The 19,751-nt window shown below is 39.3% G+C and overlaps 1 long non-coding RNA gene, 2 pseudogenes, 1 gene segment (V, D, J or C) and 1 further gene; 1 reads left to right on the forward strand and 4 right to left on the reverse strand.

The window, feature by feature from the left end:
- Positions 1-19,751, reverse strand: part of IGH (immunoglobulin heavy locus) — a 1,293,408-nt gene that overhangs the window by 1,068,102 nt on the left and 205,555 nt on the right.
- IGHV3-64 (immunoglobulin heavy variable 3-64) lies at positions 3,185-3,640 on the reverse strand. The segment is given in 2 exon segments: positions 3,185-3,491; positions 3,595-3,640. Coding segments are annotated over 2 exon segments (353 nt in total), but the record flags the coding sequence as incomplete, so codon positions are not given.
- LOC102724977 (uncharacterized) lies at positions 3,357-11,857 on the forward strand. The gene is made up of 2 exons (XR_001751026.1): positions 3,357-3,397; positions 11,759-11,857. It is a non-coding gene; the product is annotated as an uncharacterized LOC102724977 (long non-coding RNA).
- IGHV3-65 (immunoglobulin heavy variable 3-65 (pseudogene)) lies at positions 11,500-11,994 on the reverse strand (annotated as a pseudogene). Its single transcript is given in 2 exon segments — positions 11,500-11,852; positions 11,949-11,994. Coding segments are annotated over 2 exon segments (399 nt in total).
- IGHVII-65-1 (immunoglobulin heavy variable (II)-65-1 (pseudogene)) lies at positions 17,234-17,506 on the reverse strand (annotated as a pseudogene). The gene is given in 1 exon segment: positions 17,234-17,506. A coding segment is annotated over 1 exon segment (273 nt).

Here is a 19,751-nt window from a genome sequence, read left to right on the forward strand (position 1 = left end):
CCATACACCATGATCAACTCAAATTTATTCTGAGATGCACAGATGATTTGACATTCTCAAATCAATCAATTCAGTTGATTAATTAAAAAACTAAAGAAAAAATATCTCAGTAACATTTCATCAGACACAGAAAACACTTGAAAAAAATTCAGGATTTCATTATAAAAACTCTGAACAAAGTAGGAAGACAAGAAAACAACTTGTACATAATGAAACCAATTAAGAAAAGCCACAGCTATTATTATACTCAATAGTAAAATTTTAGAATATTTTGGTCTAATATCTGTAACAAGGCAAGAATAAAGCTTGAGGTATTACACTTCCAGGCCTCAACATTTATTAGAAACATACAGTAATAAATCAGAATGGCATTCGCATAAATTCATACAGAGAGCTTAGATATAAACCCACATATTGATGGCCAGCTGACTTTCAGCGTGAGAACCATCAATATATAATTGCTAAATTATAGTGTCTTCCAAAGAGCGTGTTATGAAAATTGGATATTTACATGCAAAGAATTAAGAATTTTAGGTTAGAATAAACAAAAAAATTAATTCTAAATGCATTAAATACTTAAATGAAACACGTGCAATTGTAAAACTCCCAACCCTCAAAAAATTAGCAATCTTTTTCTGGATTTTACATTCAAACAAATAAAAAAACACAGAATTGGACAAGTGGGACTAGATTTAAAAAAAGATTCCGCAAAGTAACAAAATAATTCCAACTCACAGAATTGGATAATATGCCATGAATCTGAAAAAGCGTTAATATCCAAAATGTAAATGAAACATCTACAACTCAATAACAATAATAAAAATAGCATAATTTAAACATAATCGGTTTTACACCTTTAACAATGTGAGAACCTCAAACTCATGTTCAATGTTTTTCTCTGTGGGTAACAGTCTGCCTGATGGTATGCTTGGTTGGGCAATACTTTGTAGTTATTTGATCAAACACTAATCCAGGTGTGAATTTTTAAATAGATGTTATTAAAACTGTGATCAGTTGACTCAATATTAGGTAGATTATCATCAATAACAAACTTGGCCCTGATTCCATCAGAACAGATCTGGAGAAGGTAAAACTCCGTGGTGATTAAGCAGCTTGAGATCTTTCTAAGATTTCCAGCCTGCATTTACTGATGGCTGACCCTAAGGATACTGCACGTTTCCAGCCATCCCCCAAAACTGTCATCCCCTACATCTCACAGGAAAGTGGTGTGTCCCTCTGCAGCTTGTCAAACCTAAACATCAGAGAGAAAGAGATTCTCCAAAATCAAATCGTATTTATTTGAAAATGAGCATTGCAATGGGATTATCCATGGTCACATTTAGGTTGGTAAAGAAAGACAAGTGTCTGAAGGATAAATGAGAAGATTACCTGAGCTATTTTGAGACAATTATCCTGGGGTAGAAGAATCAATAACAAGGGTAGAATCAGTTTAAGGCTGAACAGGGAGTTGCAGGGCAGATATCCCCTCAGTATTAATTCTCTTATTGTTGTGGTAGCCTTTGTTCAAGATTGTGGTTGTGCAGAGTATTTTTAGGGTAATTCTTGTTATCAGGGATGTGTGCATGAGAACCCTCTATTCATGACCTCTTCCAGCTTCGCCTGTAAAGATTATAACACACGTGGCTCCATTTTTATTCTGACAACGTTCACACCCACTTCCTTCTCCACTAGTGAAGAACGTTACTGTGTGACGGTTTTTCAGAACAGGATTAGAAACACATCCACATCCCACATTAACCAGACAAGCTTGTCCCTTCAGTTCCCACTGGCAACTTGCATTTCCAGATGAGTCTCCATGCAACACAGTGGAGGGTCCTGAGTGACGAAGAGTGAAGAAAGTCCCACCAGACTCTCCTGCGTGACTGCAGCAGCCACAGCCTGAGACCCACCTGAGCGCCAAGAAAAGGGCTTGAGGTCTGGAATTTTGACCACAGCAAAAACATCTTCCTTTTTCGGAAAGCAGGAAAAGCAAATGGAAAAATGAGAACAACATCTAAAAAAGACAGTAAATGAATTAGGAAAAGAAGCTCCAGATCAGTATTGATTCTGATTTGCATTCTTCAGTGTCAGGAGAAGGGTCCTACGAGAAACCTGTGAGGTTCTACATGACACTGACCCTGGCCCAGCCTCTCTTTTTTCTGTAATCAGAATCCCCAAAGACTGTTCTTGCTGGGATTCACTCAGGATGGTGGCGGAAATATTAAAGGGGAATATTAAGGAAAGTTATAGGGAATAGTCATATACCTTTTTAGAAGGCCGAAAGGTTACATAGCTTGTAATAATTGAACAGGCTGAAGGCGGCCAGTTCTTACCTTAGAGCGTTAGGCATAGGGTAAATACTAGGGACAATAGAGGCCTCCCCAGTTAAGTCTGGTTACCCTACCTCCATTAACTAACCAGGGTATTGCCCCCTAATGGTATTTACTTTAGACCGCAGTCCCTGAGCTTTAATCATTCGTAGAACTACTCTCTTAACCATGTTAATTATCCACAAGTGTGTTGTCAGAGCTTCTGTTGTTAATTCTATACTCAATACACGCCTGGAGTGCGAGCTGCTCAGGGCCACTGCTGCCGTTCTTTACAGGATTCTTCTTGGAGTCTGTAAGTTGCCTCGGACCCTCAGCTGAACTGGCAAAACAGAATATCTGTGTGTCAGTGTACGTTTTATTCATCCGCCACCGGGTCAGGGGTCTGCAGGAACAGACCCCCCGCAGCTTGAGTTCTCTTGTGAGGAGCAATACCTCAGTTCTAGTCAGGATTCTTTCTGGAGTTCCTGTCCTCAGTCTGACTGGAGAAGACTCACCAGGAAGCCCTGAGCTTCCTCAGGACTCTGACAGTGGTGACCATGGTTGAGAACTTTTCATCTCCTCTGTGAGGATCAATCTGCATTTTCTGCATAGGAGAATAGGTTTTCATATTAAAACAATCATTTTAAAAATATGTAGAAATGACCCTAGTAATCACAGAATTCCGAACTTAGGTTCAGTAGAGAAACTTTAAGAAGATGAAGTCCCACATCGTGACAGGAAATCAGCCTTCATCTGCACCTGCCGCTGGGGCTGACTCTGATCAGTGGCTCCTGAGCGCCCCCTGCAGATGACTTTCCCCAGCGTTCCCGCAGGGAGGTTTCTGCATGGTCCCACATTAACTTCTCCTCACTGTGTCTCTCGCACAGTAATACACAGCCATGTCCTCAGCTCTCAGGCTGCCCATTTGAAGATACAGCGTGTTCTTGGAATTGTCTCTGGAGATGGTGAATCTGCCCTTCACAGAGTCTGCATAATATGTGCTACCCCCATTACTACTAATAGCTGAAACATATTCCAGTCCCTTCCCTGGAGCCTGGCGGACCCAGTGCATAGCATAGCTACTGAAGGTGAATCCAGAGGCTGCACAGGAGAGTCTCAGGGACCCCCCAGGCTGGACCAAGCCTTCCCCAGACTCCACCAGCTGCACCTCACACTGGACACCTGCAAACACAGAGACACCAAGGTCAGAAACTGCCACACAAATCCACTGTTTCTCTCACTCATGTCCACTCACACTCAATATCTCTATTTCCTCATGAATCACCTTTAAAAATAGCAACAAGGAAAACCCAGCTCAGCCCAAACTCCATCATGACTCTTCTGTGTTCAGTGCTGATCACCAAATGAAAACACCTGGGAATCCCAGGGCGGGGGCTCCTCTCCCAGAGCTGCGGAGTCAGGGCTGGGCTGGTTTTCATCAGGAGAGGGAGGGACCTATTTGCATGTCTCCTACTATATAGCAAGCTCTGGGGTGAGATGCCTGAGGAGAGGGCAGGGCCCAGGGCAGATGAGAGTGTCCTTGGGGATTTCGATGACAATGATTACATTTGGGAAAATGCTGTTTTATTGTGAAATTGTTGTGTGATAAACACTTAATAACTATCACATTTTTAATTATTTTTACCTATGTGTATAAATTATGTTATTTAGGAATCAGTGGTTTCTTCATGTACAGATGTAAAAGTGAACCCACACATGGAGGGGCTATGTATGTGTCTAAGGGCTTATATCTGGCATGAGTGAGTCCTAGTACCCGGGCCTATGCTCCTCACAGCTGGCCTCAGTTGCTCTTTTAACCAACTCTAGGACAGAGATAAACGGGCCTAGTGTGGTTTGCAGAATCCACTTCCTGCCACGACAACCTGTGTGATTTTGCTGCATTTACCTAAAAATACGGAGAAAACTAGGGGTCAGACAAATAAATTTTTAGGTATATTTGACATTTAACATATTTATTTGTTCCTTCCTATCACCCTCTTTTTGTCTAAAATTTCAGTTTTTTTGTAATAAATTTTATGAGGTTTAATTGACAGATAAGAAAATTCACATATTTATTCTGTACAATAGTAAACTTTGAAAAATAAAATCTCTATTTTTAAGAAGGTGACAAGTCAACTCCCCTCAGCATTCCTCTTGCTCTTTTATATTTTTTTGGTTTTTCTCCTTCCCTTCTTCTACCATTTCTTTATAAATCTACTGATGTTTTCACATGTCTTTTGACTAGCTTTTATATTCTAGAATTTATAAGAATGAAAAAATATAGTATATGCTCTTATGTATTTGGATTATTTTTCTCAATAGAAATACTGAGAATTAAATCTTTTATGTTGCATGTGTTTATTTCTTACAAATAATGGGTAGCATTTCAGCAAACAAATGTAGCATAATTTGTTTTTCTATTAAGTTACTAACTGGCATTTGAATTTTTCATTACTCTCTCTAAGTCTTACTAATAAATCTGCTACTCAGCTTGGTAACACACATAGATGATAAATTATATATAAGTTACATAAATATATTTTTTGCAACAACAGTAACAAGAGAATGTACAATTTGGCAAATTTTGTTTAGTATTTCAGATAATTGAAGTTATGAAATAAAAAACAAACCTGTAATCCAAAGAGTACCTGAGACTAATCTCAATAGATTTAGGAAGTTCGTATTCCAAGATTAAGGACATGGCAGTGACACCGCCTCAGGGAGTCCTGACGATATATGCCCAAGGTGGTGGGACACAGCTTGATTTTATGCAATTTAGGGAGACATGGGACAGTAATCAATATATGTAAGATGTACATTGGTTTGGTTCAGAAAGGCAGGACTTTCTGAAGTGGGGAGAGAGCGTCCAGATCACAGGTAGGTTTGAGACAAATGCTTGCATTCTCTTGAGTTTCTGATTAGCCTTTAACTGAATGCACAATTTACAGGAATAGTCACGTAGGCCTTAGTCTGGCTTAGCAAAACAATAGAGAAATGGTGGCAATCAGATAGGCATTTGACTTATGTGAGCAGAGAAATGACTCTGTCTGTTGTTGGTCCACAAGGTTTTTCCTTGTGGTCAAATTTTGAAGGAGGTATGTAGTTTTTTAAAACCTTAGTTTCACTCGTGTCCATGTGAAGAGACCACCAAACAGGCTTTGTGTGAGCAATAAAGCTGTTTATTTCACCTGGGGGCAGGCGGGCTGAGTCTGAAAAGAGAGTCAGCGAAGGGAGATAGGGGTGGGGCCGTTTTATAGGATTTGGGTAGGTAAAGGAAAAAGGGGGGTTGTTCTCTGGCGGGCAGGAGAGGGGGTCACAAGGTGCTCAGTAGGGGAGCTTTTGAGCCAGGATGAGCCAGGAGAAGGAATTTCACAAGATAGTATCATCAGTTAAGGCAGGAATAGGCCATTTTCACTTCTTTTGTGGTGGAATGTCATCCATTAAGGCAGGAACCGGCCATCTGGATGTGTATGTGCAGGTCACAGGGGATATGATGGCTTATCTTGGGCTCAGAGGCCTGACAGTTAGTAGCTATCATTTTAGGGAAAGAATGGAGGTGGGTTTGCCCCAAGCAGTTTTCAGCTTGACTTTTCCCTTTGGCTTAGTGATTTGGGGGTCCCAGAGATTTCTTTTCCTTTCACAAACATGGAAATCTTGGGAGAAACAAGTTCTTGTAGAGAGAAACAAAGCCATAGTGTTAGCTAAACTGAAGCAGAGGCTGCCATATGAAATACAGCCTATTACAAGATAAAGCTACAAACATGTGTTGGATTGCTTAAATTCCAGTGTGGTAAATGTGTTGTCATGTGAAATTCTCAGGAACCACATACTGAAGGGCACTGATAAAGTGAATTAAATGTGGCCCGAAAAGGACTCTGCACTTCTATGATTGAGTCCTTGTGGACAAACTGTAACCTTGTGGACAAACTTGTGGACAAACCTTGTCCTTGTGGACAAACTGTAACTGTAACATATAGAAAAAATATGAATTAAACTCAGTAGACTTCAAGCTATTGACATGTAAATTAGGTGGAATATTTCATAGCTAAAGACCTGATCTAGCATGAGAAATAACAGAGAGATGACACACGGAGAATGCAGCAGGGGGAAGCTGACATTCAAGTTCTGATGTTTGTTTACTGATATTTGTCCCCTAGCATGTCCAGCACTTCATGAGCACAGAACTCCTCTAATAGAGAAACAGCCTCTCACAGGACATGATCCTCAAAATGATCTCACCTACAAATGGATCACTAGCAACTTCAAACTTTTTTGGTTTTTGCCCTTTGCAAGTTGAACTACTGGCATGAGTGTGTCTCTCCATGTTTGCACACATTGAATTGATAAAATTAGTTTTGTTCTACATCTTCCAACTCTTAAGATATCTGAAAACTCTAAAATTTTCTCCTTTCAAATTTGGTTCTCATTGACTCATTGGGTTACATCAATGCTCTAAGTACGATGGGATATGGAAGACACATCGGTAGTTTTTGCTAAATTATTTATGTTTTATTTTATTTTATTTTCAAAAGTAAAGATGAAGCCTCACTATGTTTCACAGACTGATCTCAAACTCCTGGAAATCTTCCCACCTCAGCCTCCCAAATTTCTGGGATTATAGGTGTAAGCCACTGTGCCTGGACATTAATTACTTATTTTAACTTTTTAATTGCATTTTTGTTTTGAAATAAGTGTAATTCAGATGCTGGTAAAATTTTCTCCTCAGACTCCTCTGCAGCTGCTCCAGGGCTGACATCTGTGTTGAGTGGTTTCTGGGCCTGTCCTGCAGCTCTGCCCTCACCCGGCAGGGGAGGATGCTGTTTGGGCTCACAGAGCATATTCTCCCAATGTCGCTCCCCCAGAATGAAGGGGCTGTCCCCTGGTTCACAATCCTCTCTCAGCAGCATCTAATGCTTTCGAAATTGTCTCTCGAAACAGTGATTTAACATTACTGTACCCAGTAAACTGCAGGGGGAGCCCAAGCACAGATTCTTTGAAACCACCAGAGAGTCTGTTCCCTGGGACTGTCAGATGCAATGACACAGTCAAGATCCATGGTGAGTCCAGAAACTTTCAGAGAACTCATAGGAGCCTCTTATTTCTTTCAGAATTCTCTATTCAAAGATCACGCCAAATAGTATGTCCACAGAGAGAACTACATGGCTCAAAGCCCACAAAAATTAAAACACACGTGTACACACACACACACACACATGCACACACACATACACAGTGGGAAGGCTGAGCTTTATAGTAATTGACTCGTAATTTGGGATCTTTCCTAGTGTAAACCAAAGGTTTCCGAGACAGATCTCAATCAAATTAAAATTAATTTTGCCAAAGTTAGGGCATGCCTGGAATGAAAATACAAGTAATCACAGAAAAATTTGTGGTCAGTGCCGTTCCCCAAAGATGATTTTCAGGGCTTTCAATACAAAAAAGGGGGGAAAGCTGGATAGAGGGGAAAGAGGGACAGTATGAAAATTTACATGTTGTAATGAGAGAGAAGCACATAGGGAAACAGAAAAATTATGTAGTTCTCCTGAACTAAGTTAGCACTTTATATAAAGTAAAATGAACAAAGAGTAGCTATCTGTGAAGATATTTAACTTTTTATTTGTAGCTATTCTCTTAGGAATGAAAGGAAAATCAGTTTCTTGCATGGATCATCCTTTAGGATTTTCCCCCCTCATGACATAATGAATTGACAGCACAAGTTTTTATTTTCCTTTTATATTTTCCCCACCTGTTCCTTTTCAAAATCATTCAGAGGAAGCATTTTACAACCAAATGAGTTTCTGGTCTCCTGTTTTGTTTTATCTTTCATTGATAGAATGGATTACTCTTAGATAAACAGGTCCCATGTTGTTAAGATAGCTCATTGTTACCTACCTTTCAAATGTTGTGAAGTCTCACATCCCAATGATGAAAAAATAGTGGGAGAAAAAGGGAACTAAACATAGAAAATAAAGGAGGAAATAACCAACAAAAAGGGGAAACAATCCTGGAAAACTGATATAGGCTTTGGAACTCTGAAGGCTGTACATGAGTAGGATAAACAACAAATATCTGAGACAGGTCTCAGTCAATTTAGGAAGTTTATTAATATGGTTTGTCTGTGTCCCCATCCAAAACTCATTTTGAATTGTAGTCCCACATTTCCCATGTGTCATTGGAAGAACCCAGTGAGAAGTAATTGAATCATAGGGGCAGGTCTTTCCCATGATGAACTCATGATAGTGAATAAGTTTCATTAGATCTGATGGTTTTCTAAAGGGGAATTCATCTGCACAAGCTCTCTCTAGTCTTCCACCATGTAAGATGTCCCTTCCTTTTCTGACATGATTGCGAAGTGTCCCCAGCCACGTGGAAATGTGAGTCAATTAAAACTCTTTCCTTTATACGTTACCCAGTCTTGATTATGTTTTTATCAGCAGCAGGAGAACAGACTAATACATTTGTTTTGCCAAAGTTAAGAACCCAACCATAACCAGCCTCAGGAAGTCCTGAGACATGTGCACAAGGTGATTGAAGTACAGCTTGCTTTTATACATTTTACAGAGACATGAGACATCAGTCAATACATGTGAAATGTACATTTTTTTTTCCTGTAAGCCAGGACAAATGAAAATGGGGGCTTGCAGGTTAGAAGAAGATAAGAGACAATAGGTTGCATTCTTTTGTGTCATTTATTATCCTTCCACTGAATACACAATTTAGTCTGACTCAGTGAATCTTCATTTTTACATAAATTATAGTGGGGAGGAAGAAATCATATATGTATTTGTCTCAGGGGAGACTTAGAGGAATGCCTGCTTTCCTGCCTTTCTGAATCAACTGTTCTAAGTTTAAGTTTTTGTAGATGACCAAAAACAAAAAACAAAAACAAAAACAAAACAAGACAAGACATGAGTTACAAGGAAGAAATACTAAGAGATCCTGGGGAAGACCTTTGCTTTACAAGGTCAAAAAATAGCAAGTTCAAAAAGGAAACCCCACCCTGCCCAGGGACCTAATGTGGAGCTGCCTCCTAAGGGAACCGTGGTGTCTGAGCGACCCCTGCCGTCCTGAGCGCCCCCTGGTGGTTCTGAGCGCCCGCTGGTGGTTCTGAGCGCCCCCTGGTGTCCTGAGCACACTCTGCTGTTCTGAGCGCCCGCTGGTGGTTCTGAGCGCCCCCTGGTGTCCTGAGCACACTCTGCTGTTCTGAGCGCCCACTGGTGGTTCTGAGCGCCCCCTGGTGTCCTGAGCACACTCTGCTGTTCTGAGCGCCCGCTGGTGGTTCTGAGCGCCCCCTGGTGTCCTGAGCACACTCTGCTGTTCTGAGCTCCTGCTGGTGGTTCTGAGCGCCCCCTGGTGTCCTGAGCACACTCTGCTGTTCTGAGCTCCTGCTGGTGGTTCTGAGCGCCCCCTGGTGTCCTGAGCACACTCTGCTGTTCTGAGCGCCCCCTGGTTTAACTGAGTTCTCTCTGGTGTCCTGAGCATCTATCTCCTGGCGGGTTTGCTGTGCAGAAACTCCTTAGTTAATTAGGTCCCACTCATCTATTTGTGTTTTGGTTGAATTTGCTTTTGGATACTCAGCCAAAAATTATTCGTCAAAGTTGGGGTCGAGAAGAGTATTTCCTAGGTTGTCTTCAAGGATTTTTATGGTTTGAGGTCTTACATTTAAGTCTTTCATCAATTTTGAGTTAATTTTATGTATGTTGAAAGTAGACGTCCAGCTTCAATCTTCATCACATGGCTAGCCAGTTGTCCCAGCACCATTTATTGAACAGGGAGTCCCTTCCTTATTGCTTGTTTTCATCAGCCTTATCAAATATGAGATGATTGTAGGTGTGCAGCAACACACCACTCAGAATGGCTATCACGAAAAAGTCAAAAAACAATGAATGCTGGTGGGACTCTGGAGAAAAGAGAACACTTATACCCTGATGAGAAGAATATAAGTTAATCTTGCCCCTTTGGAAAGCAGACTGGAGATTTCTTAAAGAACTTAAAACAGAGATATCATTTTACCCAGCAATCCCACTCCTCAGTATACACTAAAAAGTAAGCAAATAATTCTTATTTGTGCGCACATTTGTCAGAAGCCCTCAAGCTGTACATTGAAAATCTAAGCATTTTTATGTTAATTTTATATCATAAAAATAGAAAATAGACAATGGTAGGAAAATATTTATATTGATATTAAAATCCTAATAAAATATATATGAAAATTCAAATAAAAAATGTAAATGTGATTACAATAATTATTAAAATGCATTCAGCTGTAGTGGAATTAAATCCAGGAAATTAGAAAGATAAAGGTGACATATTAAAATGAAAAATTAATAAACACATTTCACAGATAAGTAAAACATGGCTAAAAATATGTGGAACATTTTATATTATTAGTAATACAAAGTAAATAAACTCTTGATATAACATTTTGACCTGTTTTATCAGGATAAATGACTAATATTTTGTGTAAAATCACAACATGTAAACAATTAAAAATAACCAAAATCAATTATGAATTACTCTAATAATTTATATTTAGTTCATCATTAATTTTGATTCTTCAGGACATGTTTTTAGAATTATTTTATCTTAATGTTTAATATGAATGCCTACACATATATGCATAGGTCTGTGTATTTGTACATCTTTTTTTCTTTCTTTCTTTTTATTTATTTAGTTTTTTGAGATGGAGTCTCAGTTGCCCGGCTGGAGTGCAGTGGCGCGATCACGGCTCATTGCAACCTCCGCCTTCTGGGTTCAAGCAGTACTTCTGCCTCAGCTTCCCAAGCTGGGGTTACAGGCACAGACCACCATGTCTTGCCGATACATATTTCTATGTTTATAAATTTATGTCCCTATAGCTATGTAGTTGCTGATGTCAACAAATGTTAATAAAACTCTGGAAGAATCAGTGCAAATAATTAGGAATATTTATATCTTCAAAGTACATATTTAAAATGTACTTATATATAATTTTAATAATTACTAAAATTTAAATACTAACGATAATAAAGTCATAATAAATACAAGTGATAAAATGTCACAGCCTAGAATGCTGCAGAGTCCTGCAAATACAAACCTGACTTCTCCAGCTGATGAGAAAGGAAAACTACCCCAGCATCTGCTCCTGGGACCTGTCCTGTCCTCAGTGGGTTTTGACCGCCCCCGGTGGCCCCGCGCGCCCCTGCAGGGAGGTTTGTGTCTGGGCTCACACTGACCTCCCCTCACTGTGTCTCTGGTATAGTAATACACGGCCGTGTCCTCGGTTTTCAGGCTGTTCATTTGCAGATAGGCGATGCTTTTGGAATCATCGCTTGAGATGGTGAATCTGCCTTTCACAGACGCGGCGTATTCTGTTGTTCCACGATTAGTTTTGTTTTTAGTGAAACCTACCCACTCCAGCCCCTTTCCTGGAGCCCGGCAGATCCACTGCATGCAGTAGTTAACAGAAGGTGAATCCAGAGGCTGCACAGGAGAGTCTCAGGGACCCCCCAGGCTGTACCAAGCCTCCCCCAGACTCCACCAGCTGCACCTCACACTGGACACCTCCAGAGACATCGTGATCAGAAACTGCCACACTATCCACTGTTTCTCTCACTCATGTCCCCTCACACTAAGTATCTCTAGTTCACCATTAATTATCTTTTAAAATAGCAACAAGGAAAAACCGGCTCAGCCCAGACTTCATATGGTTGGTAGTCGGTGTTCAGTGCTGATCACCAAGTGGAAACACCTGGGCATCCCAGGGCTGGGGCCCCTCTCCCAGAGCTGCAGAGTCAGGGCTGGGCTGGTTTTCTTCAGCAGAGAGATGGCCCTATTTGCATGTCTCCTACTATATAGCAAGCTCTGGGGTGGGAAGCCTGACGAGAAGGCAGTACCCAGATAAAATGACTGTGCCCTGCAAGAATTTGGTGACAACGATGGTACTCAGAAAATATGCTGTCTTATTATAAAATTATGCTGTGATAAACTTTTTGAATTCATCATCCTATTTTATTTTTACATATTTGTGCAAATTATGTTTTGTCGGAGTCAATTGTTTCTCCATGTACAGATGTGGAAGTCAACCACGCATGGAGAAAGGGCTAAGTATGTGTCTAAGAGCTCACGTCTGGATGAGTAAGCCCCAGTACCTGAGCCTGTGCTCCTCATCACTGGCCCCAATTACTCCCTGAGCCAACTCCAGGACAGAGCTGGGCGTGCCTAGTGTGGTTGTGGAACCCACTTTCTGTAGTGAGAACACGTGTGATTTTGCTGCATTCTAGCATTCACCTAAAAATATGGTGAGAACTAGGGTTCAGGCAGATAAGTTCTTAGGTATTTCTGAAATTTAATATACATTTTTTCTATCTTTCTATCACTCCTTCTTTGTCTAAGTTTCCATTTGTTTGCTTGTAATAAATTTTGAGAGTTTTAGTTTACAGATAATAAACTTTCACATATTTAAATTGTACAATTGATAAATATAATGTAACCATCATTGTTATCAAGGTGGACAAGAGAATTCTCAACATTTCCTTTTGTTCTTCTACATTCTTCCTCCTTTTCCCTTTCATTCTTCTACCATTTCTCTGGCAACTCCTGAGCTATACATTGCGGCTGAGTCATTTAGTTTATTAAAATTTATACAAATCAATGCAGTATATATTCTTATTTGTTTGGCTTATTTTACTTAACATATGTAATTCGATATTTTACCTTATAGTTGGGTATAGCAGACATTTATTTATTCTAAATACTGGATAGCATTCTAGCAAACAAATTTACCATAATTTGTTTTTCTGTTAAGCAGCTGAACAATATTTGAATTTTTTATTATTCTGGGTCTTACTAAAAATCTGCTATTAAGTTTGGAAACGCACATAGAAAAGGAATACATTTTCCTTATTTTTTACAATTGCATCAACAATAACATAAACATAGAAGATGTAGCTTTGCAAATTTTCTTTAATACTTTTGATAATTAATGTTTCAAAACACGCGACAAGTCTGAAGTTCAGGGAGAAGCAAGTTCTTATAGAGAGTGACAAGAAGTTTGTCATCCTAGGTTGTTTGTCAGTCTAGCTTGTCTTTCTTCACTCTGCTAGAATAGTCTAGAGACATTAAGCTTAATATGTAACGAATTTGAAAATTAGAACGAGTCCGAAGTGAAGTCAAAGTTACCGTGTGGTTAATAATGTGACAGACAGGAGACATGACTGGATACTAAGAGTGTGTTCACATCTATTTTATCTAGATTAGCAAAACATTTTGTGCATCCCTTAGATAATATTCCCGTTGAGAGCCTTGATTTAACATTATTTCTTGATGAATAACACCTAAATAATAAAGGTGGTGGTTATTAACTCATAATTTATATTGCTAGTACAAACTTTCATTTAAGATAAATTCCTCTATCTGATGTAAAATCAGCCGAGAAGGCAGAAGTTATTGCACTTACTAGAGCTTGTCAATAAACCGAAGACCATGATTAAATACAGATGTTTTACTGTAGTGCAGAATTTTAAAATGTCCTGCAGGCAGAAGAGGTTTTCAAATCTTCTGGAAGCCCCATCAAAATGGACTACAAGAAAAGAAATTTTTAAATAAATTATTACATTCTAGATATCTGACATATAAATTTGAAATGAAATGCAAGCAAAGAGAAAAAACCTAGTATGGAAACTAGAATAATGTTATGGTGCATCATTTCTACAAACTTTCAATCTCAACCTGGTCCTTAATATTATCTAAACATAGAAGGCATTCCCATTGTTCATATCATCCAGAATCAATCCCACTCACAATATTCTGAATATGTTGAAAAAAATGGCATCATTAAATTAAAAAAATATAAAAACTTTAATAAAATATTGAAAGTCTCTTGGCCAAGAGTTATGCCACTAGCACTGTGTCACTCTGGTACCTCCCTCAGGCCACATCAGTTACTATCCTATGACTTGGGAGCTGGAAGATTCATACATTTAGAAAGTTTACCCTCATTGCTCACCTTCGTCTTTTTGCATGTGTGTGTTACACAATATTGGACGTAATTTTTGTATTATACTAACTCCAATCACCAAAAGTTTAAGGTTGCCTTTTTATGTCATGTTTTAACAGTATTTTGTGATCTTCAACCATGAAAATACATATATTGGAAAAAACGTCAGGAAGAATTCTGCTGTTGAAACAAATTAGAATAAATTTTATCAGGCAATATTAACCAAAACACTGCAGAAAAAAATTAAGGGAGTCAATTCTTGGGTTGATATTTTGCAACTAAAGAATCAGTTCAGACCGAATATCGTGGCTCATGTCTATAATTCTACCACTTTGAGAAGCAAAACCAGGGGAATCACATAAGACTAGTAGTCAAGACCAGCCTGGATAACATAGAGAGACCCCACTTCTATGAAAGAATTAAAAAAAAATCAGCTTGGTCTCATGTCCTCACTACTCAGGAGGCTTATAAAGAAGGATTGTGTGAGCCAGAGGTTCAAGGTTACAGTGAGCTATGGTTGTGCCACTGCACTCCAACCTGTGTGACACAGTGAGACCCTATCTCTTATTATAATAATAATAATTAAGAATTTTACACTATTGTAAGGCACCTTAAATAGAAGATATTAAACTGAATATCCTCATGAATCCTCTGGCGCTTCTGATGTTTTGGAGCAGACAGCTCACCTAAGACATTCAGAACAAGCGGATGATTTTAGGTAATGAAAAGTCTCCACACAAGACATTGGAACAGGACCCTTGTGTAATCCCCTGCCCCGTGCCTTTCACCTCATTTTCCTCCTTTTCATTATGATTTGCTTATTCTTATAAGCAGTCTTCTTGTTTTGTGTAGACTGGTTTTTGTCCACCCATATTGGACACTGATCTATTTTTATTCATATTTTTATTCATTTATTATGAATAATTCATTATGATCTATTTTTATTCATTTATTTATAGTTGCTACATAGAATAAGTCATCAGACTTGTTTTGATGTCTGACTGCTGATAACTTAAGGCTCATTCCTCCATCATCTCCTTTCTTTCCGACACGAGGTGGATCTAGTTAGGAATCACAAGAACTCCCTCATTTGATGCCATTTGGAGGTTCAAACCCCACAAACCCATTTCTGTGAGTGAGAACCCTCACTCTGCCTCCACCACCAAACTGGTATAGCAACCTGAGCCAGTCTCCTTTCTTGCTCTATCGAGCCATTTTGGACATTCCTGAGAGACCAGCTCTACTCTCAGCAGACACCTCAAGAGGTAATCAACCTTTTCGTATTCACATGGGGGAGTGTGCGGCACTCACAGATGTGACATCCACACTACATTTTGGTTGTGATCTCTTGGCCTTTTTATGGTGTCAACTAGAACAGATGCTGTGAGCTTGTTGCCACTTCTCCTAACCACAGGACACACCTGTTCCCTGAATCAACCCCAGGACACAGCTGGACATGCCTGGTGGGGTTTGATTAACGCCCATTATGTAATGAATTCATGACATTATTTTGTTGTATTCTAGTGTTTCCCTAAAAATATAGGTAGGCTTAGGGTTTATTCATGTATATATCCAGGAGTCTTTGATTTCTCATATATCTTTAATTAAATCTTTAATTCTGTGTTGAGAAATTTAAAATTTCTTCAGTTTGATGAGTGAAGTCCTTATGCCAACGTTCTGTGATTTTCTTTTTTTATTTCTCATATATTTTATTCATCTCTGTCTAACTTATTTTCTACCAAATTATATGTGTTTAAATTTGGCATATTTTAATGAGGTGAAATTAGCAAATAATAGCCATCCCATAATGTGCACAATTTGACAAATAGTGACATAACCATTACCTTTCTCAACACAGAAAAAACTCAAGTGCCCTCAAAATTTCCTCTTGTTTTCCTGTAATTTCTTGTTCCTACACCTTTCCTTCTCACACCACACCCAGAGTCAACTACTGGTTTTCTTTATGTAACTTTAGATTGGTATTAATTTTATAGAATTTATAAAAGAGGAATTGTATGTGTGTACTTGTATTTATTTGTCTTATTTGACTCATCATATGTACTTGTGACTTTACCTTTGCTGTTGAACGTATCCAGCGGTACCAGAATGTAACAGTGGGTGATTTTCCAGGGAATGAATTTACCACAATTTGTTTATGATTAAGCTGCTGATTGATATTTGGATTGCTTTCAGTATCTGGGTATTTAAAAAAATGCATTAGGAGATATACCTAATGCTAAATGACGAGTTAATGGGTGCAGCACACCAACATGGCACATGTATATATATGTAACAAACCTGCACTTTGTGCACATGTACCCTAAAACTTAAAGTATAATAATAATAAAATTTTTAAAAAATGTCAAATTAAAAAAAAAAGTTGCTGCTACCTTAGAGAAATACACAGCTGAGAAACACAATGTTCCTATTCTCACAGCAATATGAACATCAGCTAAACTGGAAAAGCTGCACATTATAAACTGTCTTCAACACATCACGTAACTGAAGTTGTAGAATTTTGCGTGTGTGTGAGTTTGTGAGTGAGAGAGAAGGAGGGAAGAAGGGAGAAAGAAAAGATAGAGATCCCACAAAATTGACCATAATTTATGAGGTGCTCATATAAATACAGGGACTCAGAGTCTTAGTGGAAAGGTCCACATACGATGGAGAGGACAACTTGATGCACCTACATATGGCTATATATTTATATAAATGCCATTTTCTAATAATACACAGAATCAGGTACATGAGAATAAACACGGTGGTGGGTGTCCAGTGGTGAAATACGATGGTGATGCCAAACCCCATCTCCAGCCCCTTGTCCCCCCATTGCACCTGCCTTGATGTGTCCAGAGTGTTCCCTGGTGTCCTGAGTGCCTCCTGCTCTTTCTGAGCTCCCCTGCAGGGAGGTTTGTATCTGGGCTCACAATGACTTCCCCTCGTTGTGTCTTTTGTATTAAAATTCATGGTTGTGTACTTGTTGCTCAGGTAGCTCAGCTACAGGAAACACTGTTTTTTGGATGTGGATCTGGAGATAGTGACTGGACTCTTGAGGAGTGGGTTGGAATGTGCACTCCCTCATGACCTGTGCACCTGATTCGCTCCAGTCCCTTCCTTGCGGGGGGTGATGGATGCAGCTCCAGCAGGAAGCACTGGTTGTGATGGAGAATGCAGAGACAGCACAGGTGAGAGAGAGGGTCTGTGAGAGCTTCACTAGCCCAAGAGTGCAGGAGAAACACAGTTGTTGGCATGCACAAGTTCTGAACAACATTTTGAAATTCACAAATATGCACATTTTGATCCATAAATAATAACAGGATGGTATTGGCATTAATATATAGAGAGAGCTCAGAAATAAACTAATATATCTACAGCAAACTGATTTTCAGCATGAGAACTAACAATATACAATGGATGAATCAAAGTCTCTCCCTAAGAGGGTGTTAGAAAAACTGAATCTACACATGCAAAGAATTAAGAATTTTAGTTTAGATTAAATACCAAAATTTACTCTAAATGGGCGAAATACTTAAACGTATGGCTTGCAATTGTAAAATTTCCCCCACCCAGAAAATAATATTAAGAATGATTTCCTATATTTCAAATTAAAGGCACAGACAATAAAAGCAGAATTGAACAAGCAGAACTACATCACAGCAAAAAGATGCTGCAAAGCATGGAAAAAATTTCCAACCCACAGAAAGAGAGAATATAATTATAAGCTGTGCATCTGAAAAAGTGTTAATATCCAAAATGTACATGCAACTTCTACAACTCATTAGCAAAATCATAATTGGGTGATTGTACAGTGGTCAGTTTTGCACCTTAAAACACTTAAGAAATCGATCTCATGTTAAAGATTCTTCCCTCTGGGTAATGGTAAGTTTGATGGTACACTTGGTTAGGGTAGACTTTGTAGTTATTCAATCCAACATTAATATAGGTGATGTTGGCCGGGCACAGTAGCTCACATCTGTAATCCCAGCACTTTGGGAGGCTGAGATCATGAGTTTGAGACCAGCCAGACCAATATTGTGAAACCCCATCTCTACTAAAAATACAAAAATTAGCCGGACTTGGTGGCCTGCACCTGTAATCCCAGCACTTTGGGAGGCTGAGGCGGGTGGATCACCTGAGGTCAGTAGTTTGAGACCAGCCTGACCAATGTGGTGAAACACTGTCTCTACTAAAAATACAAAAATTAGCCGGATATGGTGGTGTGTGCCTGTATTTCCAGATACTGGGAGGAGGCTGAGACAGGAGAACTGCTTGAACTCCGGAGACAGAGGTTGCAGTGAGCCAAGATCATGACATTGCACTCCACCCTGGGTAACAGAGCGAGACTCTGTCTCTCTCTCTCCCTCTCTTACTATATATATAGTTATGAATTTACTTAATAGATGATATTAATACTGTTATCAATTGACTCTAAGTTAGGTAGATTGTCATTGATAAAATTGGTGGGCCTGATTCCATCAGAGCAGAACTGGAGAAAATGAAATTCCACGGCGATTCAGCAGCTTCACTTCTCTCTGGGACCTCCAGTCTGCATTTATTGATGGCTGATCTTATGGACATTGGAGATTCCTAGACATCTCCAAAAACTGTCATCCTCTATGTCTCACAGAAATGTGGCATGTCCGTCTGCAGCTTGTCAACCTGAATAACAGACAGAAAGAGACTCTAAAGTATAATAATATTTTTTCCAGGATGTGCATTTCAATTAAAATATGTATGGGTACATTCAGGTAGGAAAAGGAAGATAAAAAATTAAGGAGAACATGTGGACACAGGGTGGGAAACATCACACACCGGGGCCTGTCATGGGGTGGCGGGAAGGGGGAGGGATAGCATTAGGAGAAATACCTAATGTAAATGATGAGTTAATGGGGGCAGCAAACCAACATGGCACATGTATACATATGTAACAAACCTGCACTTTGAGCACATGTACCCTAGAACTTAAAGTATAATTTAAAAAATAATAAAAAAGAGAATTAAGGAAAAATGAGGAGGGTGACAGCAGCTATTTTGAGACAGCGGTGTAAGGTTGAACAGGCAGTTGCAGGGCAGATTTACTTGGAGAAATAAAGCTTTTAAGGCTGTGGTGGTCTCCGTGTAAAAGGTTGTGGCTGTGCAGAGTCTATTTATGACAGTTCATCTTATCAGGAATATGTGTTAGAACCCTCCTTCATGGCCTTCCCCAGCTTCATTCATTAGGGTTTTAACACAAGGGGATCCATTTTGTTGCCGATAAATTTCACAAGCTCTTTCTAACACTACTTCTGAAGAAGATGACTCTGACAGTGTGCATAGAACAGGGTTAATTCCACATCCACATCCCATTTTGATCAAATGAGTTCATCCCCTTCACTACTAACAGCCAATTGCATTCCCAGATGAGTCTACACACAACACAGAGGAGGGCCCTGAGAATATGGAGAGAGAAGGAAATCCCGTCAGCC

This window comes from Homo sapiens, chromosome 14 (assembly GCF_000001405.40).
Source record: "Homo sapiens chromosome 14, GRCh38.p14 Primary Assembly".
NCBI classification, from domain to species: Eukaryota; Metazoa; Chordata; class Mammalia; order Primates; family Hominidae; genus Homo; species Homo sapiens.